Source organism: Homo sapiens, chromosome 6, assembly GCF_000001405.40.
Source record: "Homo sapiens chromosome 6, GRCh38.p14 Primary Assembly".
Taxonomy (NCBI): Eukaryota; Metazoa; Chordata; class Mammalia; order Primates; family Hominidae; genus Homo; species Homo sapiens.
The window spans coordinates 159,032,764-159,055,366 of NC_000006.12; the positions used below are offsets into that span (position 1 = coordinate 159,032,764).

Sequence of the window (22,603 nt, forward strand, 5' to 3'; positions counted from 1 at the left end):
GACCTGAATTTAAGTTTGAGCTCCTAATTAGGCTTCCAACCCGGTTTTACTATACACTTTGCATCAGGTACATCTGTGATTGTCCCATTTGTCATTAGTGTGGGCCCTTAGGAAGTCAATAGAGGACAGAACTCTGGTGTTCCTGGATCCTTGACTAAAGCATCATTTTATTGTCATCTAAATCTCACTAGAAGCCCTAGCTCTCTGGTTATGGTGAAATATTCAAATTATTGGCATATTCAAGGTATCATTAAGTAGTATTTTGAAAAACTTGGTGTTATGGGTTGAATTGTGTCTTGCCCTATCCAAATTCATATGTTGAAGTCCTAATCCCCAACATCTCAGAATGTGACTATATTTGGAGAGAGGGTCTTTACAGAGGTAAAATGAGGTCATTAGGTTGTGTCCTAATCCAGTATAACTGGTGTCCTTAGAAGAAGGGGAAATTTGGAGACAGACTCACGTAGAGGGAAGATAATGTGAAGAGACACAGGGAGGAGGCCATCTGTGCTAAGGAGAGAGCCCTGGAACCTATTCTCCCTCACAGCCCCAGAAGGAACCAACCCTGCTGAAACCTTGACCTTAGACCTCCGGATTTCAGAACTGTGAAACATACATTTCTGTGGTCTGAGCCGCCTGATCTATGGTACTTTTTACAGCAGCTCTCAAAAACTAATATACTTGGGAGCCAGGTTGGGAAAACCTGTTTGAAAGGCAGATGGACTCCATAGATAGGAGTGGGGCTACCACACTGTGCAATATTTGAAATAGTCAACTGTTGCTGTCTGCACTGTTCAAAGACTAACAATGACATTTGCTTGGGCAGGGAGCTCCTAAACGTTCGTCAGCAAAATGTGCTATTCATTTGTGTAGAGGACTTCCAGTTTCATTCCACTTTTTTAAAATAAGGAAATTTGGGTAGGGTTTTCGTGACCTGAGTCGGGTTTTCGTGACCTGAGTAGGGTCACACGGAGATCAGGTGAATGGTAAAGTGGGAATACATTTGTAACTTCCTGGTTTGTAGTCTTAGTGGTCTATTGATGGGAATCCTCTGATTCTCAATAAGAAGTGGCTATTATTAGAGGCAGAGGATTTTTTTTTTCGGTACTGAAATACTTAGCACAGTGCCTGGCACGTGGTAGATGCTAAAATTGTAACTATTGCTATTAGTGACCAACTCTGGAAAAGGACTGCTTTTCTTAAGTTAGCAGTCAGGTAAGCTCTGCCCCATGAAATTTATATATTATTGGGGCTTAATAAAGTTTTATTATTTATTTTATTTATTTATTATTTTAATTTTTTGAGACTGAGTCTCACTCTGTCACCCTGGCTAGAGTACAGTGGCACGATCTCAGCTCACTGCAACCTCTGCCTTCCAGATTCAAGTGATTCTCCTGCCTCAGCCTCCCAAGTAGCTGGGACTACAGGCACCCATCACCACACCTAGCTATGTTTTGTATTTTTAGTAGAGATGGGGTTTCACCATGTTGGCCAGGCTGGTCTCAGACTCCCAATCTCAAATGATCTGCCCACCTCGGCCTCCCAAAGTGCTGGGATTACAGGTGTGAGCCACCACACCTGGCCCATCAATAAAGTATTTTTAATATTAGGTCTGAGTATGCTGCCTTGAGCAGTCTATTTTACAACATTATTAACTTTGCCCATTATTGATAAATCATCTCCGAAAAGACTCAACACAAAATATTTCTATAACAAATCAGAAGCATGCATGATATTTTATTTTAAAAAGATAAAATAAGGAAAATTGAAGTCCAGCATCTCTAAGATACTGGATAAATATCTTAATAATCGAACAGTAAAGCTCTAATACAGTACAAACATTTTACCATTATGTTTGCCAATAATTAAGCAAACTGAGCATCATAAGAATGAGGTGAGATGTAAAATTACTGGAAAGTTTAATTCACTAGAAATGAGAAATTTTACATTTGTTATATTATCCTGTATTTGTGTACTACATTTTTCTGGCAGAATGACTCCTTGCTGAAAAAAAATGGCTTAAAGTAGGTGCTTTTTTAATGGTTTTGCAAATTCTGGAGAACAGGGACTGCTTCTTCCTAAACAAGATCCCCGGTCTTGCTATTAGTCTAGAATAGTGAATATATATTTAATAAATGCTTGTTGAGTGAACCAATATGTGAATGATTTTCTTAGTGGATTTCTATTAATTGAGGGAAAGGAGTTAACATGTCAATAAAAAAAGAACATTTTTACTTTCAAATAAGGAAGGCAATTTATTGTAGTGAAATTACATTGAAGTTTTATATATGACCCCCAATGCATATAAAATCATTTACCTCCACATTATAGGATAGGATATCATGAACTACAAAGATACTCAAAGTGCTATAGATGAGTTAATATTGATGTAATACATTTTCATTAATCTACCCACATTTAATTGGATGATTGAAAGGACACGTTGAAGTGTTTTTCATGATTTTTGCTACGGCCCCAGCTTTTACTGGAGTTTTTAATGCCTTTGATGACTCCAGACACTCAACTCTGTTCCTTGCAGTCTGTTTCTTTCTTCTATGGTGGTGATTAGTTATTGCAAGACTGCTTATATAGAGTAATATATAGTTTACTCTGGTATGGAGTAAACTTATACCAGAGATTTAAACATTTCTCCCTAAATGGAGTTTGTGGAAGATGTGAAAATTGGCATGACATTTGAGGCCACATTAAAAAAGCGAAGATAATTTTTAAACACTAACCAAGAGAAAAGTGCCCCAGGAAGCAAGGAACAGCAGTGTACTTCACTGCAAGTTCAAAACGTGTGCAGGGATTATTAGACATCCTTTGCACCTAACACCTTATCTATAATACATTTGATACATTTTTACATATTGCACAAATCCAGGTACACAGAGACTATCTGATGCGCCATGGCCATGGTGTAGCTATCCTCACTGAGGAGGGCTTTCCACAACTTTCTCAAGGAGCTTATTCAAGACCTTTTAAAAACAATCTACAGGCAGTTCTTTACAAGTCTCATATTTACAGATAGCACAAGCTATGGCATGGCGTATGGCCTCCCTCCTAAATATACGATTCTTTGGCATATTGGAATTGGTCAGCCTCAAAGACCGGCTGGCTACATCGTCGCACGAGACAGTCCCGCTTATTCCTCTGCACGGACTCGGAGACGGTCCTCAGCGGGAGGAGCTCAGGTCTCCCTGGGCCAGACACGTGCCCCAGAGAGTCCCCAGAAGCATGGACAGTTCTGCTCTGTTTCCATCGCTCAGGCAGGGGAGAGAGTCCGTGGCCAGGGAGTGGCTCTTTGCTGCCCCTGTGTCTTGAGTCCTCTACGTGGTGAGCAGGTGGAAGAGGGGGTAGGAGGCAGTGCGCCTCCAGCATCCTCGCCCTCATGCTCCCCACCGTCATGCTCCCCACGGTCTGGCTCTCGGAGGCCACTAGTCTGGCTGCCGGGCCCTGCATGGCCTCTTCATAAGAGGGTGGGCTTCCAGGCCTCTCCCAGTCAGCTCCCTGGAACACATCATCCACCGAGAGGGCGTGGGGTCTCAGGCAGAAGCCGCGGGCTGTTTGGTTGTGGGTTTCACACCCATTTTCCTGCACGATTCGGCCGGCAAGCTGGCTTTCCTTTCTGACACCCCTCGGGACGTGGTCCCTGGTAAAGTCTTGCGATTTCCCAGAGCCCGCGCTGAGGTTTTTGGTCAGCACTTTTTTGTGAGGGGCAAAGGTGAAAGACATGGAGTGCTTTTTAATTTCTCGGCTGGGCTTGCCTTTCTCTGTCTTTGTGGTGAAAGACTGATGTCTGCTGAAGAAATTTCTTTTGGGACTGGAAGGAGAAGCCACGGGCGAGCTGTCAGAGGACGCGTCCAGCGAGCTGCTGGAGAAGGCTTTGAGAACCAGTGCCCGCGGGAGCACCGAACCCGGGGCCAAGTTCTTGATCTTCAGGTCCACCGGCCTCTTGGTTTTGCCTTGCACTGCAGGGAAGACCTCCTCTGGAAATGGGTCTTCAGCCTCCTCACTTTCCAAACGAGAGCCTACCCGGGGCACGGGGAAGTCCCCTTCACTCTTTGTTAGTGTTTGGTTTGTCACCCGGCTCTCGAGGCACTCCTGGGAGGATGGCATGCTGGGCTCTGAGTATCTCCTATCGGGCTGTGCGAGGGAGCTTTTCAGCCTGGCCACGGTGCTCACAATGGGCTCTGGGCTGACCTCTCGGGCATCCTGTGGGCCCGCGCTATCCAAGCCAGCAGCTGTGGCCATGGGCACCTGGGGCTGCCTGCTGGGAGAGCTGATGCCACTGCTGCTGTTGGATTCCACATCAGGGTCGTTGCTGTCGTAGGCTGAGTCATTCTGCAGGGTCGACACATCTGGGGGAAGTCAAGCAGCAGTTGAACATTTGTTTGGGTTTATTTATTTATTTATTTTTATTTGTATTTTTTATTTTCATTTTTTGAGATGGAGTCTCGGTTTGTTGCCCAGGCTGGAGTGCAGTGATGTGATCTCGGCTCACTGCAACCTCTACCTCCCGGGTTCAAGTGATTCTCCTTCCTCAGCCTCAGTAGCTGGGATTACAGGTGCCCGCCACCATGCCTGGCTATTTTTTCTATTTTTAGTAGAGACGGGGTTTCACCATGTTGGCTAGGCTGTTTTTGAACTCCTGATCTCAGGTAATCTGCCTGCCTTGGCCTCCCAAAGTGCTGGGATTATAGGCGTGAGCCACCACACACGGCCATTTAGGTTCTTTTAGAAATGAACTTTGCTACAGTTCGCCCTGCTCATACCAATCAGGGCACTAGGTGATTTATTAGCAGAACTACTTAGGGGCTTGATATGACAAGAAATGTACCACATGAAAAGTTTATTTCTTTCTGAATTTATTTTGAGATCAGAAGAAAAATAGGGAAAGGAAATGAGTAAAGGAGGGAGGAAGGAGAGAAAGAGAGGAGAGAATAAGAAAAGAGAGAACAGCATTTCACTGAAAATGTATTGACCTTAATTTTTAAAACTGCTCCTTTTACTGGACCCATTTTCATTGTGATGGAGTCATATCCCATGAAGTGGAAACAAAAGTTTCTCACTCCAACTCCAGAGCTAAAGGTAGCTTAGTGAAATCAGCAGTGATTTGCGATGTACACTGGGAAGGGGGAAAGACTATCTGTGGTCTGAGGAGGCGCTGCAGGAAAAGCCCGGAGCAGGGTTTTCATGTTTAATGACTTCCTAATGGACTGGAGTCTAGTCTGACTCGGTGATTTGTGAAGGTAACTTCTGCCTCAAATATCAGAGATGCTTTACATGACTGGCAGACTGGCATGAACTTTTCCCTACAATCGTAATCAAATGATAGCACATTCCATACCTGAACTGTCAGTGTGCTCCAGGGAGTCATCAGAAGTGATACTGGAATGCACTGGAATGTTCTCCCCAAATATTTCAAAGCAGTTATCAATGAGGAATTCCACCAGTGTCTTCACCTGTGAGGAAAAGTAAGCAATTTGTCAGCTTGAAGACTTTTTTTTTTTTTTTTTTTTTTTGGAGGTGAGGAAGAATGGGGACACTGGAGTCAGGTGCCAAAATGAGAATCTGAGATCTTTATGTGTCTGAAAAGAGCATACAGAAATTTGGTAACAATCAGATACTTTTTTTTTTTTTTGAGACAGGCTTTCACTCTGTCACCAGGCTGGAGTGCAGTAGCCTGATCTCAGCTCACTGCAACCTCTGCCTCCCGGGCTCAAGCGATTCTCCCGCCTCAGCCTTCCGAGCAGCTGGGACTACGGGCGCCCGCCACCACGCCTGGCTAATTTTTTCTATTTTTAGTGGAGACGGGGTTTTGTCATGTTGCCCAGGCTGGTCTCAAACTCCTGAGCTCAGGCAATTCGCCTGCCTCGGCCTCCCAAAGTGCTGAGATTTCAGACGTGAGCCACCATGCCAACAATCACATACATTAAAGTTAGATACTCCTTGGTGTTTTGAGACATGCATTTTAAATTTAAGAACTTAAAAAAATTTAAAGTATTAATAAAATTTTCATTTAAGTAAGTAGTGTCCCAGATTGATAGACTGATAGACTGTGGTGTACAAAACACAAAAACAAAAGGGCTTTTTTATATCGGGAGAGAGTGATGTAAATACTCGCAGCACTCATCTGTCTCACAGATGACAGAAGACACGGATTTATTCAGTTTCATTAGATACATGTATCTGAGAGAGTGGAACTATGACAAAAGCATTTTGCATTTTATATTTTCACTGTGATTCTGAGTCAGTTGGAGACATTCTGAAGCATTTTATTGCCTGGACTTGGCAAACAGATGGTGAGATCATAAGTTGGGGATTTCTCATCAGTAAGCAGAACAAACCTTGTTGTTCAGGTCCTTCTGGGCTTCAAATGACAGGCTCTGGTCATTCTCCAGGGTGAGCATGTTGGGTCCAATGCAGATGGCCAGATTGCTGGAGTCCATCCTGTTCACCTCAGAGTTCTTGCTGATGAGGTGCAGCACATAGACCAAGTGCTTGAGTAGCAGGAGGTTGGGCCGGGGGAGCTTATCTGCAACCCTGGAATAAAGTGAAGGGATGTTAGTTTTCAAAAAGGCTAATGGTCTTCAGTGTAGCAAGCTGAGAGTTTCTGCCGAAACCAGACTTCCTTTAAAATGAGGAAGGTGCATTTTCACAAGTAATATTGTGAAATGCTCATTCAGACACTTCCAGTGGCAACTGACACAGAGTGAGACTGGTTAACCACAAGGTCTTGAGGAGCTAAGAAACTGGCCTTTGTAATTGGGACACCAATAACACAGCCCTTTATTATTTATACAGAGCTTAAATTATGAAGCCAATCTGCATTAAACACCATAGTTTGCCTTTATGTTTAGAAAATAGTTTTGTTGAGTAATCATTTAGTCATGTAGAATTTCTTTCTGTTTCTAACACGACTAGACTGGTTTTCTTGCCTTAAAACAAAGACGGAAACAAAACTATAATTACCAAACGAAGATGACACATTTTTACAACATTCTGAGAAAGCTTTATGAAGACTAAATCAGTTTCTAAGGGCATGTTCATATAAGGCGGCACTTAAATCGCAACATTGTTTCTAATGATAAGAAATTAGACTTCTTAAAGTCTCACTTTTTCAAAAACGAAATGGTGATTATTTTCATTTCTCAGAAGAAGGAATTGTTATAAAAATGCCTTATGTCTAGGTAGAAACTCATTGTGATAATCTTAGAATTTTCATTTTGGGACAGACATTTTAATGTCTTCAATTCTATACATATGTCATTGAAAGTATTTAGCCATGTGGGACAATTATAACATTTAGATAAACTTTCATAGGATGTGACAACCATGCTGACATTTCAAAGCTTGGGTTTTAGAATTCTCTAGTCACTAACAGATCACACTTTCCATTGCATATGTTATTATTTTTACTCTCACTGGAATGTGTTATTATATAGTTTTCATTTGGGTTAATTATAAGAAGATGAAATATGCTGTGAAGTTTTATGAACAAAACAACTGCCCCCCACCACACTGTCTGGCTGCATCCTGAGGGATGTTTTATGGGAGAACTGTTGCCTTGCATGACACCAGTCAGTGTAGCTTAAAGATAATCCCGAATTTCTACACTTTGCTGGTGAGCCTGTGTTAAAGTTCTCAGGTCTGATTTTATCTCATACCTTTTTGAACATCTTACATTTTCAGACTTCCCTACCTCTTGGGATTTGTGAGGATTGAAGTTCGCTTTCTACTTTTTGAAGAAATATTTCATTTGGCTAAAATTAAAATTCAAAAGTCCAGGGCACCCTCTGGTTTTTGTTCTGGGAGTGGACGAGCAATTCCACTCGGATTCCCTAAACATCACAATTCTCATGGAACAGGGATCATGAAGCATTTAGAAAGCTGTGTAAAGAATCAAAAGACGGAGGTGATGTGGCCTGGCAATGACCGATGACTTTGATGACTTACTGTTTCAGGGCCTCGATTCTGTCCTCCTCGTCCTGCATCTCCAGAGCACCCATCCACTCCTCAAAGAGGTCGCTTGAAAGTAGCTTCCGGGGGATACTTCTGAGGAAGTCCTGGGGGATGAGAGTGGGCTGTTGGCCTATTGGTACTGTATGATGTCCCATGTCCTTGTTTTCACCCGGTTTTCGTTCCATCGCAGGGTGCTCTATGCTTAGCCCATCATAGATTGTGGCCCTTCATTCCTGCATTTGATGAATCCAGGGAACCCTCTCTCCAACACCCTTGGCCTCTCTGCAACTTTCTAACATCAGGCAGAGTCAGAGGCACCATCCCCAGGTGGGTGTGTTCTGAGGGGCCACTGGATTTTGACGTATGGATTCTGCCACGGAACAATCAAATTGCCCGTACTTGGCAAAGTTTTGGGAGAGCAGAATGCATCACTTTCTGTTGGAATCTGAGGTCACAGAAACAGAGGTGCTTACTAAATAAATAAATAAAGGGCTTAATGAAAAAAATTAAACTCCAAGATCAGTGTACCTTGCTGTGTGGGGAGAAGAGCCTATTTCTTGCATCCTGAGAATGAGTGTGTCAGGGCCCCTTGGCAGGTTATTTGGCGCAAGTGTGTTGAACTCACCTTAAAGACCACAGCGAGGAGGTGCACGGGGAGCCTCTCCAGATCCACCGCATCCCCAGAGTTGAGCTCCTCCTTCAGCTCCTTACGGGCTTTCTCGTTGGCTGCTCTCCTGAATATCCCTTCCGTTGAAGGGCCTTTAAGGCATAGAATAGTGAGAATGTCCTAAAGGAAACAGCAATAGGAACAGGAAAGGGTTACCCTTCTTCTTTAGTATACTGAGATAGTCTTAACAGGAATATTGATGTCAGATTTTGCTTTCAGTCCAGTTGCTGTCAATGGCCTTCCTCAACCCTGCTATTTTTCTAAGAGGAGGCAAATTGTGAAAGCTCTAATTTTGCACTTTCTAAAATCACTTTGGAGCTCTCTCCTTTCAAATACTTCCATATGAACATTGGATTTCAGATCACAAAGTCTATATTCTGTTTCCCCCTTTTGACTTTTCAGAAGCTACAAATCTTCAGCATTCTCCACTCTGTGAAGTCAGAGGAATGGCGGGACCATAGCTCTGAGCTCATTGGCAAATACAACTAATTTCAATTTCTGGAATGGAAGCAGTCAGATATTCTTCTGACTGCACGCGTATGTGGGAGTGCCATGTTGAAGAGTGGAAAATATGGAAGATCAGTCCCTACAAACTTAATAGGAGAATGACATTCAGATTTCCCGAGTATTTTGCATGTCCAACTGAAAACTGAAGTAGGTTTATGAGAGAATGCACGCCTACCTGGATGGGTCTGGGGAGTGTGTCACTGTCACCGCAGATAATTGACAAGGGCTGATCAAATAGCGATGCTTTCAAGTCTGTCTCCAAAGCCCCAGAAAAATCTGATGCAGGGGAGAGCCTTCTCATGAGAAAGGGCCAGGACAGCACCTTCTTTCTCTTCTTAACTTCTACAGCCAAGAAAACAAGGCAACGAGAAAAATTAGACTACAGTGTTAAGAAGCAAAGATCCAGGTAAGAAAATGGGTATCGTTGGCCGCATAATGTGGTCAATAGTATGCGATGTGAGAAAAATAATTTTGAAAACTTGAGAAAGCAAAGGGCGTGAATCTTAATCTAGAAAAACCAACCGATAAACAACCACACTGTTACCAGGGCAACCAGTTCCCTAAACAGCAACACCAGAGTTCCTCAAGGCCTCCACCTTTCCTGTTTTCACTCTTTCCAGCTGTTTGCTACAGAAAATTAGCAAAACCTAACTGTGCTGATCATAAACAACCATCTTAACCTACTGGCCTGAATAACTATAGAGGAAATTTCTGATATGAAATAGATTATTTTGATTTCCTCCTTTAACTGGCGAAGAAAACGAAACTTAAAAGGTGAGGAAGTGACTTGCTGAATATCTTTTCGAAGGCACATAGCAGGGCTGGCTCCAACCCTTTGCAGCCACGCAGGCACTAAACAGCCACTAGAGGGAGCTAACACCATTTTTCCTTCCAGGTGACTGGTCACCTTGGGTTTTCCAGGTTGCTGCTTTAGGACAGAGGCAAATACGAATCGCTGCGGGAAGCCTTGAACCTAGATCTGGCAACTGGGAATTATCAGCAAAACGTTATCAAGATATTCTGTCCTTCTGAAATCCACAAGATGTGTGTGCAATGGATATTGCAATCTCAAACATTTCCTTCTTTCTTTTCTTTTCCTTCCTTCCTTCCTTCTCCTTTCTTACTAATTATAAAGGCTATATTTTCTAAATGCATTGGCATCTGTTTCTATACATTTCAGATTGGCAAGTGGAAGCATGATGAGAAAGAAGTGGCCTGTCTTTATGGTTCAGGAGAACTGGGTCAGGGTTACGCTATAATGAAATGCATTATGAAAAAAGTTGAGAGTGAATGGTGGGTCCTTTGGGATTTGAGATCAGCAACAGTTGCTTCATAGGCTCTTGGATGCATTCTCCATAAGAGAAGGAAGAAAATGGAAAAGACACTGTGTGTTTTTCAAATGTGTGCATGCTAATTGTCGAAACATACATGGCCAGGAGATTGAACCGCATTAAAAACGCTTGGCAGAACTGGGGATTCTCTATGGAGAGGCTCTTTCCTTTCCCAGCACTCCCTGCTCTAGTGAGTTGGAGCATACCTGCCATTTAAGGGTTAATGTTCTGCGGTCTTTAACAGAACAACTTATACAAAAAAATTCCTAGTAGAGTAAAAGCGCTGTGGTTTTGCAAACCAAGAGCACTGGTTGTTAGCACTTACATAAAAGATCGGTATGTTTTTAAAACTCACCAATGAGCTGGCAAATACTGTCTTCACTCTCACATGATGCCAACAGGGGATGTTCCTTGATATCACCCTAAAAACATTTTTATTTCAGTTAAATATAGTGACTGAAGAAACCTATCGAGTCTTTCCCCACAAAACACACATACAGCATTTTATTCATATTAAAAATGAAGTCAGTAGAGTGCATTGATGTTTTTTCTAGCTTCTAGAAGCAATATTAAGGTCTTGATTGTCATCATATAAGATCCTAATTAATGTGCTTAATTTACTACATGTGTGATGTTAGTTTACTACTCTTATAATTACTATTCAACCCAAATAATATTCAATTAAAACAAAGTTTTCCACCTTCTCACAGTACAGATAAAAAGTCTTAAAAATTGCTTTCTTACCTCTGATTGACATTCGATTAGTGTCTCCATATTATTGGCGTTTAGTGTTTTTGACTAAAAGAGAAAAAATAAAATTAGGTAAATATCTTTTGGCCCTTGCCTGTAGGAAACGTGAATGAATGAATGTGAGAGGGGCACTCACAGCATTGTGGCTGCTTCTCAGCTTCATCAGTATTGCGGCTGACTGTCCAGGGGTGGATTTCACTCCCGTGTGGCTGTGCCTCTGTCTACAACGAATCACATGGAAAGGAGTTAGGAGGGACTCACACAGTAGGCCACTTTCAGCGCCACTTTGCCAAAGCACAGAGTTTGAAACTATTTATTTATTTTTCTCTTTTGCTATTTTTTCACTTGCCTTTACTTTGGAAAAAACTATTACATAGACAAGTTTTCATTTAAAATCAGTTCTGTTACCAGATGTTGTATGTTGTTAAGAGCAGCATCTGAACACAATTATTTCTAAATTATTTAAGTCAACTATCTTTACCACTCTAAACGTTGTTACCAATTTATTCCGTTCCATCAAGAGATAATCTGGATATCAATTACGTTAACATTTTAAATTAACATGAACATTAACTTTTTTGGTGGAGTGCTGACTATATGCCAGCTGTCGTAGTAGGTGCTTTGCATGGATTTTCTCATCTAATCCAAAAAGGAAAAAAAAAAAAACATATCCCTAGGATGCTAAAATAGTAAACATGAAACAAAGATAACATTTACAGAACTCCTACACCAAAAAGGTGCAGCCTTCACGTTGAAGCAAAGCTTTGTCCTGAGACTTTATAAAGTGAGAGCATATTCCACGGGATAGCTGTTTTCTGTTGCCTGTGATCTGAGTGACCTGTGACTTGCGAGGCAGCTTGTAATTTCTAGGCATGTTAATATATAGTGTACTTACCCTTGGAGGGTCTCTAGCCAGAGTTCTTTTACATCCGGTGAGCTGTAAAGAATGGGAGAAACAGCATAACTCTCTGCTCCTTCTAGTCCACTGGGAGAGAGAGAGACCGAGCCGGTCTCCCTTCACATGCTCTGCATTATAAGCGAAGGGGCGGGCAGGTGGAAATTCAGAATATTACAGAGACCGGAAAGAACATCATGGGCTGTCACACGGACGGAGCCAGCCAGACACTGGAGAGCTCTCGCTTCCTCATTCCTTTTAGGGCAGCTATGTCTTTTTTTTTTTTTTTTTTTTTTTTTTTTTTTGTGTCTTCCACTTCAAAGTAAAAAATCTGTAAACTACTAGGAGTGGAAAACATGACATTCAGCCCATAGGTGAAGGCTCTGATTAATGTCATAGGTGGGATGTGTGAACAAGAAATTGTGTTATTCTGTGCATAAACATCACTTTATTTTCTAAAGTGGTAATTTCAAGTGCCTCTTTTTGCATCCTGTTTGGGTGCTCTTTCCCCTCCCACGTGCCATCTGCTCTGTCCACCAGCACCACACGTTGATTAGCACCCCTGGATGTGGGACACTGTTACAGAACCAGAAAGAAACCCAAGACAGTCCCTTCCTTGAGGAACAATCACCGTCCAAAGCCAGGTTAGTTTCCTTTGGAAGTAGAAAGAAAACTCCCTCGAGTCAGTTGTCAATATAGTAACCCCCTCCTCCTTTCTGTAACTCCTGGTCAAAAGTATTGATACTTAATTTACAGTCAGAGCAGCTGTCGTTCTGACACGGAAGGAAAACAAACAAAAAAATTCCTTTGATCAGACCAACTTAAAGTAGGAAAGAGATGGTGAATTTCATTTGTGGATCACTCTTCTGCATAAGAGAATTTCTGATCTTTTCTGTAGATCAAGGGCTATATATGAAACCACTCAAATGCCTCGACACGAGAATGGATGCATAAATTGTGATCCATTCACATAGGGAATGAATGTTGTATAGCACTGATAATGAACAGCCTATGACTATAGCCAACAATATGGTTGGATCTCATAATATGACGCTGAGCAAAAGAAGCCAGACGTGAAAGTGTATATCCTGCCGGCTCCCATTAATGCAAAGCACAAAATTAGCAAAAGTCGTCTGTGCTGTTGGAAGCAAGAGTAGCAGTTTCCCAGAGGGGATGGTAATGACTTCCAGGGGCCAGCGGGGGGCTTGGTGATGGTCCATTCTTGATCTGGGTGGTGCTAGGCTTATGTGCACACTTCCCTATTTATGTAATTTTTCAATAAAAAGTTTTAAAATAACTTGGCTTCATTTATCATCAGCATCTTTAATTTTAAGACTTTTCCGCATTGTCAGTTCTTTTGTCATTTTACTGAAAGGAGGTGATTATGGGGCAGACTTTGGGAAACCGAAGCACAGAGAGGTCGAAATTTGCTCTGTAACTTAGCGGCTCGGTGGGGACCTAGGGACAGATCCTGGTTTTCAGGCTTCCAGCTGGGGGCTCCCTCTCTGAAAGCCACCACAGTGCCAGAGTTCACCCAGTGTTCCCAGGGCAGCTGTAGAGGCCACCACTCTTTCAGCATCCCTCTCCTGCCTTTATAAACCTCCAAAGTGAACTCACTGATTTTTTTAATTGAAAAAGGGCATTTACGCTGTGCCCAGCCTAGTGCTAGGCATATAGTAGGTACTAAATAACTAATTTCTGAATATATACATTTCCTTATAAAATAGCCAAAATAGAATATTACTATAATGTTCTATATATCATAGAATATATATGTGATGTATATTCATTGCTAGTATGTATTTTCTAAACTTTTTTTTTTCCCGACAAACGGACTTTTCAAATTTTTGTAAGAAACTTAATGTACTTACTGTTCTTTCTTTTTTTTTTTTTTTGAGATGGAGTTTCGCTCTTGTCACCCAGGCTGGAGTGCAATGGCGTGATCTCGGCTCACTGCAACCTCTGCCTCCTGGGTTCAAGTGATTCTCCTGTCTCAACCTCCTGAGTAGTTGGAATTACAGGCACGCGCCACCATACCTGGCTAATTTTTGTATTTTTAGTAGAGATGGGGTTTCGCCATGTTGGCCAGGCTGGTCTGGAAATCCTGACCTCAGGTGATCCACCCATCTTGGCCTCCCAAAGTGCTGGGATTACAGATGTGAGCCACTGTGCCCAGCCTCAGCATCTTTTAAAAATACATAACATGAATGGTTTGATGACCTGCAGAAATGGTTACATCGACGGACTTTTCTTTTTCTTCTGGGACCTACCATGCCTAGTTAAGCACCCAGGGAACTATCTAGGATGAAAAGTTAGTAGCAAATACGGCAACAGAATTAGGGCCCCTCCATTTTTTGAAACAGAAATATGTTTTGGCTCTTCTTATTGACACAACTGATGGTGGGAAAGCCCAGAGGGAGGTGCCATCCTTTGGGGTCCCTGGGAGATTTTGACAGTCAACATCTAATGAATAGGTACATTTTGTGACTGAAGGAAAGCCACCATTGTTGGCTGGTGCTGCTGGGGGACTGAGGAGACGTTCTCCTTTATGACTGTGGCCCCGCCTGCATATGGCGCCTACTGTGGAAAGAGAAAGAGTTGTGAAGGGCAGGTGCTGCACCCTCAACTCTGAAAATCTCACAGTAATTTTGATCGCAGTTTTCCGAGCACTAGGAGAAACATTTATAAATAAAGTGTAAAATTTGGAAGCAGTCATGCCAAAAGTTAGAAAAAAAGATGGAAATGTCAGATTCACTTTTTCCATATTCTTGTCTCCCACACATCTCTTTGAAAAGCAAGCTCTCATCGTCCTGCATAGTAAGAGTCTTCAGAACGTGGAAAGGAACTTCAGTGGCTTTTGCTGGGTTGGGCTGAAGGAAACCCCGGTGAAACCCACACCTGTAAAGATGCTTCTCACAGTGGGACTTTTATCGCTTGGGTCCTGGTCACAATCAATTTTTCTGCAAATAATTGGCTTTGCTTTTCTTGTGGTGAGTCTCTAAGGACAGTGAGTTCCGTTCTGGGGACTGTGAGTTCTATGCTGTGTACATGTGTGCTTTGGAGGGTGACTGGAAGCACCATCGTTCCTTCCCATACTTTCAGGCTCAGTTACCGCTTCAGTCTGGACTGTTGTGAACGAGAATATGGAAGTCATTTTCCCCACATTGTTTACCCAGCTTGCCTGGGAAACACCAACTGGAGGATTAGAGTCCGGCTCTTCAGTTTGAACTCACTTTCCCTTTCTCTTCCTGGGACCACCCAGTGATTCAGAGCCCTGCATTCTGTAATGAGATTAATGTCAACAGTTTCCTGCATTGAAGATTATTTTCCCAAAGAGTTCACGATTTCCTTCAGGACTTCTCCATCACCCCAGTGTCTGGCTACCTAATGACTGATTAACAGGTTGATTTTCTAGAAAACTCAAATTACAATTTCTTTTTTTTAAAAAAGGGCAATCCAGCCTTTTCTCTGATTATCCGTCCTCCCCATCTCCCACTTGTCCTATGTTTTAGCCACACAGGCTGTTGTCATCCCCTAAAAGTGTGCTTCTGAGTCTCCAGGCCTTTGATAAATTGTTCCCTCCTCCTGAAATGCCATTCACGCCATCTGCCTTTTGGAATTCTGCCCTTCCCTCGGAATCTAGCCCAAGTCCTATCTCCTCTAAGAAGGGACTTTTCTAGATTGAATTAAATTTCCTTCCCTGGCCCTGCATAGTGGCCGCACCCAGTAGACTGTGAGTCTACTTTTTTCATCTTTTATTCTTACAAGTGCCTGGCCTCATATTTTGCACACAGTAGGCATTTGCTATACTTTAATTACTAGTAAAATTGAGTGATAAAATAAAACATTTAAATCTCACCATACGTTTGCTGGTATTGCAATTTGTTACTCAGACTTTTTGTCACTTAGCCTTTGACTGTTTCGTTTCATGGAGAAAGACTACCTCTTTGTCACGCTGTAACAGAGACCATCGTTGCAGAATTTGATTGAGCTGGAGACAGCCTCTCCTTGCACACACCGCGGGCTTATGTCGATACCAATGTTGTGGGATTAGACACATGGACTCTCTAGCTCTGTGGTGAGGAAGGAGGCCTCGCCTTAGGTGGACTTGAGTGTCAGCTTCTGTCAGTGAATCTGTCAGGAGGGCGTGACCACACCTGTCCAGCCTCTCACCTCCCACCCTCCAAGGACCAAAGCCTTACCAGTGTTCTCACCTTAGACTCCCTAGTTCTGTGTGCTCTGGGAGGTGTGGACGTCCCCAGAGCCATGCTCCTCACTGTCTGGTGGCAGAGGAGGACTTAGCATAAAGGACTCCGGGGGCTGGGAAGTTGGTGCTCACTTTGAATGACGGTCTTGGATTCACTAATCTGCAAAGTACCCAACCTGCAGAATCTTTTATGCGGTGACTTTGGTTATAGCGAATTAGCAATAAAACTCCTTGCCTGCCTCTCCTCTAAGAAACTTCTAGGAAAGTCTGTGGGTGGGGAAGATATGCCTGGAAGAGACGTTCTCACCTCTCTGCAGGCCCCGGGCTCACAGATACAGGCAAGGACTCAGTCTCGGCTACGGTAAATACAGTTCAGTCCTTTAAGGTCATTTTTTAATTTTTGTTTTTTTTCCTGGCAGGAGAAGGGCTGCCTTCCAGGGAACTTCTCAGAGGTTTGCTGGGACCCTGGCATCCCTGAAATAATGTCAAGCATCATTTCATCTTGCAAAATAATTTGCTGTCTCCACAAATGGCTGCATTTCTGCAGTAGTGGAAGCAGACATTTCAAATTTGCCCCCTCAGATATTTGCAATTATGAATTTATCTTTGTGTTGGAATACAAAATAGGCTCAGCATAAAATAATATTTGAAGAACGCTGTGTTTTCAAAAGCTGGCTTGAAAACTAAGAAAGGCTCAAACAAAATGTTCTTTTTAAACTGGCTTCTCCACTTATTGTGATCAAGATGAAGAATTAAAAATAAGACATCCTGAGATTAGGTGATTAGAAGCTGTATGGCTGATGACACAAACTGCTATGGGACCCAGGCAGGGCCTCAGCTTAGCCGCGCTTATCACTGCTATGGGACCCAGGCAGGGCCTCACCTTAGCTGCGTTATCACTGCTATGGGACCCAGGCAGGGCTTCATCTTAGCTACATTATCAGTGCTGTAGGACCCAGGTAGGGCTTCAGCTTAGCTGTGTTTATCACTTTAAGAACTAAAGAATGTGGCTGGGCGCGGTGGCTCACGCCTGTAATCCCAGCACTTTGGGAGGCCGAGGTGGGCAGATCACGAGGTCTGGAGTTCAAGACCATTCTGGCCAACATGGTGAAACACTGTCCCTACTAAAAATACAAAAAATGATCTGGGCATGGTGGCACACGCCTGTAGTCCCAGCTACTCAGGAGGCTGAGGCAGGTGAATCACTTGAACCCGGGAGGCGGAGGTTGCAGTGAGCCCAGATCTCACCACTGCACTCCAGCCTGGCAACAGAGCGAGACTCCGTTTCCAAAAAAAAATAAAAAATAAAAACAAAAAAACTAAAGAATCTTTTCTTTCTGTTGATATTTTGGCCTGAAAAATTGCACAAGGCAAACATGATGTCAAAAAAGGCATGTCAGCAGCCCTGAACATCAGTTAACTACAATATGATTTGGTAGGTTATTTTTTTGAAGAAACAAAGAGAAAACTATGAAAGCTGAGGTTCTTTGTTAGCAGTCTACAAAATTCATGTGCAGCATTTGTAAAAATCTGAACCAAAAAAGTAGAAATGGTGGAAAAATGTTTAGTTTGCCCCATGCTTTTAAAATGCCTTTTAAAGATATATTTACTGTAGTTGACTTTGGTTTTTTTACTGAGCACTTTTTTTCATTTGTCATATGAAAAAAATTATCCAGGGCTTTTACCTCCCTGTGTAAATTTTAAAAAAGAAAAGTATTTGTTATTTTGAATGTGTGTGGTCCCCTTCTCAAATATGTGCCTTATTTGGTGTCTCCTAAGAAAATCTTTCAGTGATGCCCTCCCAAGCGGCCCCTGCTCCTCGGGGTTGGGGAGCGTGGCCACTAGGCACGCAGCTCCTGCCAGGGGAAGCAGTAAGGGGGTCTCCAACCTGAAGACAAACTCTCACCTGGCCGGAGCGGGCTTGCCAGTGCTCAGGGCACTGTGCTCATTGGTGGCTTCACATCTGATTTTCACCTTTTCACCCAGGTTCAGCTAGCAACCATTTAGCAAGTCCTAACCCTTTGTGGCTGGGTCTGTGGAGTGCTTTCTTTTCCTGGCAATTGTAGCCTTCCTGATGGACTAGTCCAGACTGGTTCTGATTTAGACTCTAGGACCAGTCCGGGGGAAGGGTTTAAAGCTAGTGTCATCTTCTGTGTGAAAAGACTTTGGGCAGAGGGGCAAGGGAAAGCCACGTAATTTTTGCAAACCTGATGCTGCCTCCTGGGCTTTTCTTACAGAAAAAAGAATCATAAGATTTCTCCTTCTGTTTTTGGGTCATAAAACATTATGTAACACACTAGAAAGCATTATATATATATATATATATATATATATATATATATATATATATATATATATATTTTTTTTTTTGAGATGGAGTCTCACTTTGTTGCCCATGCTGGAGTGCAGTGGTGTGATCTTGGCTCACTGCAACCTCTGCCTCCTGGTTCAAGCAATTCTCTGCCTTAGCCTCCCGAGTAGCTGGGATTACAGGCACCCGCCACCACACCCAGCTAATTTTTGTATTTTTAGTAGAGACGAGGTTTCACCATCTTGGCCAGGCTAGTCTTGAACTCCTGACCTCGTGATCCACCTGCTTCGGCCTCCCAAAGTGCTGAGATTATGGGCGTGAGCCACCGCGCCCAGCCATGATACATATTTAAAAAAATTTCCATATCTTTCCTAAGTTTGCATATGTTAACTGGAAAACTGAGCCCAGAAGCCCTTTCTCTGAGTTGTAGCCTTTGTGAGATCTTCCATAAATCTCAAACAGCAACCATTTCTCAAATGTGCAGTGCAGTGCTGCTCCAAGTTGATCGCGTATCAGAATCACCTGGAGGTTCATTCAAACCTAGACTGTGGCCTCCACCTTGGAGCGTCTGATTCGGCAGGTCTGGGGAGAGGCCTGAAAATGTGCATTTGTAATGAGTACCCAGTGACGCTGATGCAGCTGGTCTGAGGGCCACACTCTGAAGGATGGCTGTGGAAGCACAGTAAGACCTCATTTAATGTCATCCATAGATTCTTGGAAACTGTGACTCTAAGCAAATCAACGTATAATGAAAACAATTTTCCCATAGGCTAACTGATGATGTAAACAAGAGTCAAGTTCCTGTGGCATATTTCTGGTCACAAAAGGATCACTGAACTTTTCAGTAAAGACCCATAACACTTCAAATATTAAACATTGAAATAAGTGTGAGCTATACGTACATTTAGGAAAGATGAATAAAAACAAAGAGGTTCATTATTTACCTGCTCATTCCAGTTCAGGGTCTGGGGTGACAAGAGACCATCCTGGCGGCTCAGCTGCCACCCCATCGCAGGGCACACTCACACACACACCTAAGCTCACTCAACCTGGGACCACATAGACACGCCAGTTCACCGAATGGCACAGCTTTGGGATGTGGGAGGAAACCAGAGGACCCAGAGGAGACCCATGTGGATGTTGGGAGAGCATGGAAATTCCACACTGAGAGTGGCCGTAGCCGGGAAGAAATTGTTTTTCTTCATCCACGTGATAATGAAATGACATTGAACAAAATGATGTTATTTGAGGGCCTGCTGTATCATGAAAAAGTAAAAAGTAAAATGTATTTAATATATTCCTGCTTCCTGGCTTTGGAGTAGTTTATTTAACGGCATTTTTATAATCACTAGGTTATTCCATGATTCCTTGCTAGCTTTCACGTTCTATCTTGCCCCTTGAAATTAGAGTGCAGGTCCTTAAATTGAAGCAATTCATTCTTACACCCCAAGACAAGCCTGGGGTGCACAGTATGAAGTACACAAATATCCATTTTTAAGAATGAGTAAAACAGGTGCCCAGCCTGAAGCTGTACTTCTGCTTTTTTGGATATTTGGACACATTTCTTCTTCTGATTGCTATGCTCAACCATGTTTTCCCAGACAAAAGCTGAGGGCTACTCCAAAGGAATCGTTTACACTTTTATGTTGAGACTAAGCCCTAGACCTTTCACCAGGTGGCTAAACAGAAGAGAGAAGGCATCTACTGCTTGGCTCACTTAGAGCCCCGAGATCTAACTCAACAGAGGCTTTGCTAATTTTACTTAATTTTTTCAAATAAATGTGGTATTTCCCTATTGGCGACTCACTTTCAATGGCCTGGGTTAAGGAAGCCAAATAGACCACCAGGTGCACAAACTTGTCTTGAACCTAAGAGCCAGCTGTATGTCCACGGGGCGTCTGTTTTTTGTGAGAGAGCTCAGCTCTCCACAAATGCCCCTTGGAAGATCCCTAAACACTTGAAGGTGAGCTTCCTTGACCACCACCTGCAAGAACACTCGGGGTGTGTGTGTGTGTGTGTGTGTGTGTGTGTGTAACATTATCCTTTCATGATGCATGTTTACCATGTACAAATGACCAGGTCGACAGAGTAAATAAGGCGTTAGTTGAATCTCTCTGACAATTGAGAAAAGGCAGTTTAAAGTTTAAATATCAGTCCTTCTCAAACTTGGCTGCACGTGAGAATCCCCTGGGAAGCTTTTTAAGAATAATCAATGCCCACACCTAATCTTTGACCAATAAAATGGAAATTTCTGAAGACGGGATTTCAGGATTAAAAAAAATTCTCCAGAGAATTCCAACATGCAGCTTAACCAGTGATCTCAGCCACAGTTTTTGGGGTCAACTGATCTGTCAGTTTTATAATGGGATCCTTTTCCACTGTAACCACAGGCACCAGGCAATCTTAGAAGCAGCAGGTACCTTGTCCGCCTGGGTGGGAAGCTGAGCCTCAGCGTCCCTCCATTGAGCAGCGTCGTCTCAGGAGCACTATTTCCCTAACTTACCCCTTCTCACCCACAAAGTGAGAGAGCTGAGGTGACTTAGAATCTGCTGCAGTCTTGTGGTTAATGAAATGTGGCCATAATTCTTTGAGGCGGCTTCTATCAAGACACGGAGTCTACTTCCCCACTTTATATGAGGCTGCCCTCATGACTTGTAGAATGCAGAAAAAAGGATACTGTGCTCCAATGGCCTCAAAGTTTCCACCTTTGCCCTCTTGAATGCAGCCCTGAGATAGCCATGTGAGGAAGCCATACAAGCTTCCTGGAGGATGAGAGACCACGTGGAGGAGAGACAAGGTGCCCAGCCCACAGCCAACACCAACTCTCAGACGTGTGTGTAAGGCCGTCTTGGGCGATCCTGAATGTCATCTAAGTGAGACCGTGTGAAACCAACAGTAGAACTGCCCAGCCAACCCGTAGAATCCTGCTAAATCAGAAATTGATGCTGTTTTAGGAGACTGAGTTTTTGGTGGTTATTATTCAGCAATAGGTGCCTGAAACAAATAGTGACTCCATAAATTGTTACCATGACTTTTGCACATGCACCCCCAGGGTAACATTGCAATGCATTGCAAATGCAACTTTAAAAAGCACTGATTTAGCCTCGTTCTCGGTGGAAGCAATCCAGCTTTATTTTAAAGCATCTTAGTGAGCTACTGATACAGTATTTCTCACAGTGAGCCCATGATGCATTTTTTAGTGTGTTTAAGATAATAAAGTTTAAATAGACCAGAGAGATGTAAAATAAAAATCAATCAGTGGTGGATGTTAAAAAAATCTGTGCTTATGGATACAAATGACATACAAGGGAATTTTCAGGATGCAAAACTAAAGGGTGGAGTATCCAGAACTTTGGGTAGAACTTTCAGAAATTCCAAAGAAAGACTGACATTCTTTGGGTACTCGAAAAGTTGAACTGAGATGCTTCTGGAAACTTAATTTCATTATTATTTGTACTCAGTCAATAAATACTTTTTGAGTCCCCACAAGGTGCATGGAGCTTTACTGGGTATTGAGTTGGAAAATGGACATGGCTCCCAAACTCAAGGTGTGTTTCACGTTCCTATCTCATCCTTTCAGTTTTCCAAGTTATTAGCTGCTGTCAACAGGCATTTCTCAATCCTAACAGTTGGGATTCACATTTAGTTCTTCTGGAAATGATCGTGGTTCTTCAGTGCAAAGAGGGAGCCAAGGTTCCCAGGAGGATGCTGTGGAGCGTGTGTTGGGCTGTGACCAGGAAGGGCCCTGTCACACCGTTCAGAACGGAGTCAGGAGGGGTGGCGCGTTTCATTTGACAGTGTAGACAAGGGGCTTCTACTGGGCAACAGCCATGTGATTCAGCGATCTAGAATTAATTCAGGGAGGAGGCTTTGCCTTGTGACTAGCCACTCCAACTTTTATCAGTTCCTCATATTATACACACACACACACACACACACACACACACACACGCACACACACGTCTGCTGG

At 42.9% G+C, this 22,603-nt stretch overlaps 1 protein-coding gene and 1 long non-coding RNA gene across 6 annotated transcripts in view, besides 6 other annotated features; one reads left to right on the forward strand and one right to left on the reverse strand.

Annotated features, from left to right (window-relative positions):
• Nucleotides 1-10,293, forward strand: part of TAGAP-AS1 (TAGAP antisense RNA 1) — a 43,184-nt gene extending 32,891 nt beyond the window's left edge. Inside the window, exons 4-6 of one of the 2 annotated variants that reach the window (NR_183545.1) lie at nucleotides 8,156-8,292; nucleotides 9,035-9,545; nucleotides 10,035-10,293. This is a non-coding gene — a long non-coding RNA (TAGAP antisense RNA 1). Of the gene's footprint in view, nucleotides 1-8,155; nucleotides 8,293-9,034 lie in introns of both variants that reach the window. The other variant, NR_183546.1, reaches the window with a different exon arrangement.
• Nucleotides 1,718-12,228, reverse strand: TAGAP (T cell activation RhoGTPase activating protein). 4 transcript variants are annotated; one of them, NM_054114.5, is made up of 10 exons: nucleotides 12,116-12,228; nucleotides 11,357-11,441; nucleotides 11,215-11,268; nucleotides 10,826-10,892; nucleotides 9,315-9,481; nucleotides 8,591-8,752; nucleotides 7,960-8,069; nucleotides 6,351-6,546; nucleotides 5,351-5,465; nucleotides 1,718-4,361 (listed from the first exon to the last, which is right to left on the reverse strand). In NM_054114.5, exons 2-10 carry the CDS (start codon nucleotides 11,381-11,383, stop codon nucleotides 3,064-3,066), a joined length of 2,196 nt encoding a protein of 731 aa, NP_473455.2. In that variant the 5' UTR covers nucleotides 11,384-11,441; nucleotides 12,116-12,228; the 3' UTR covers nucleotides 1,718-3,063. The 4 variants fall into 4 exon arrangements, with proteins under 4 accessions (NP_473455.2, NP_687034.1, NP_001265662.1 ...); NM_152133.3 differs by lacking the exon at nucleotides 9,315-9,481; NM_138810.4 differs by lacking the exons at nucleotides 1,718-4,361; nucleotides 5,351-5,465 and having other exon boundaries at nucleotides 6,142-6,546.
• Nucleotides 6,160-6,360: a silencer, noted in NCBI's record as "peak6279 fragment used in MPRA reporter construct". NCBI's record gives its function as "represses an SCP1 promoter by STARR-seq MPRAs in K562 erythroleukemia cells {active_cell/tissue: K562}" and the evidence as "EXISTENCE:reporter gene assay evidence [ECO:0000049][PMID:32103011]".
• Nucleotides 6,374-6,473: an enhancer, noted in NCBI's record as "active region_25381". NCBI's record gives its function as "activates an Ori minimal core promoter by ATAC-STARR-seq in GM12878 lymphoblastoid cells {active_cell/tissue: GM12878}" and the evidence as "EXISTENCE:reporter gene assay evidence [ECO:0000049][PMID:35858748]".
• Nucleotides 6,484-6,533: an enhancer, noted in NCBI's record as "active region_25382". NCBI's record gives its function as "activates an Ori minimal core promoter by ATAC-STARR-seq in GM12878 lymphoblastoid cells {active_cell/tissue: GM12878}" and the evidence as "EXISTENCE:reporter gene assay evidence [ECO:0000049][PMID:35858748]".
• Nucleotides 7,020-7,220: a silencer, noted in NCBI's record as "peak6280 fragment used in MPRA reporter construct". NCBI's record gives its function as "represses an SCP1 promoter by STARR-seq MPRAs in K562 erythroleukemia cells {active_cell/tissue: K562}" and the evidence as "EXISTENCE:reporter gene assay evidence [ECO:0000049][PMID:32103011]".
• Nucleotides 7,889-9,088: an enhancer, noted in NCBI's record as "BRD4-independent group 4 enhancer chr6:159461684-159462883 (GRCh37/hg19 assembly coordinates)". NCBI's record gives its function as "activates an origin of replication core promoter dependent on BRD2, P300/CBP, MED14 and CDK7 cofactors, and independent of BRD4, by STARR-seq in HCT116 cells {active_cell/tissue: HCT116}" and the evidence as "EXISTENCE:reporter gene assay evidence [ECO:0000049][PMID:35650434]".
• Nucleotides 9,662-9,931: an enhancer, noted in NCBI's record as "active region_25383". NCBI's record gives its function as "activates an Ori minimal core promoter by ATAC-STARR-seq in GM12878 lymphoblastoid cells {active_cell/tissue: GM12878}" and the evidence as "EXISTENCE:reporter gene assay evidence [ECO:0000049][PMID:35858748]".

Coding starts and splice junctions, on each gene's coding strand:
- TAGAP (NM_054114.5), bottom strand. CDS start 11,383: ATGAAGCTGAGAAGCAGCCACAATGCT. Junction 8,753..9,314: donor CACTCCCCAGACCCATCCAG/GTAGGCGTGCAT, acceptor TGTTTCCTTTAG/GACATTCTCACTATTCTATG. Junction 5,466..6,350: donor AGAAGGACCTGAACAACAAG/GTTTGTTCTGCT, acceptor TTTTCCTCACAG/GTGAAGACACTGGTGGAATT.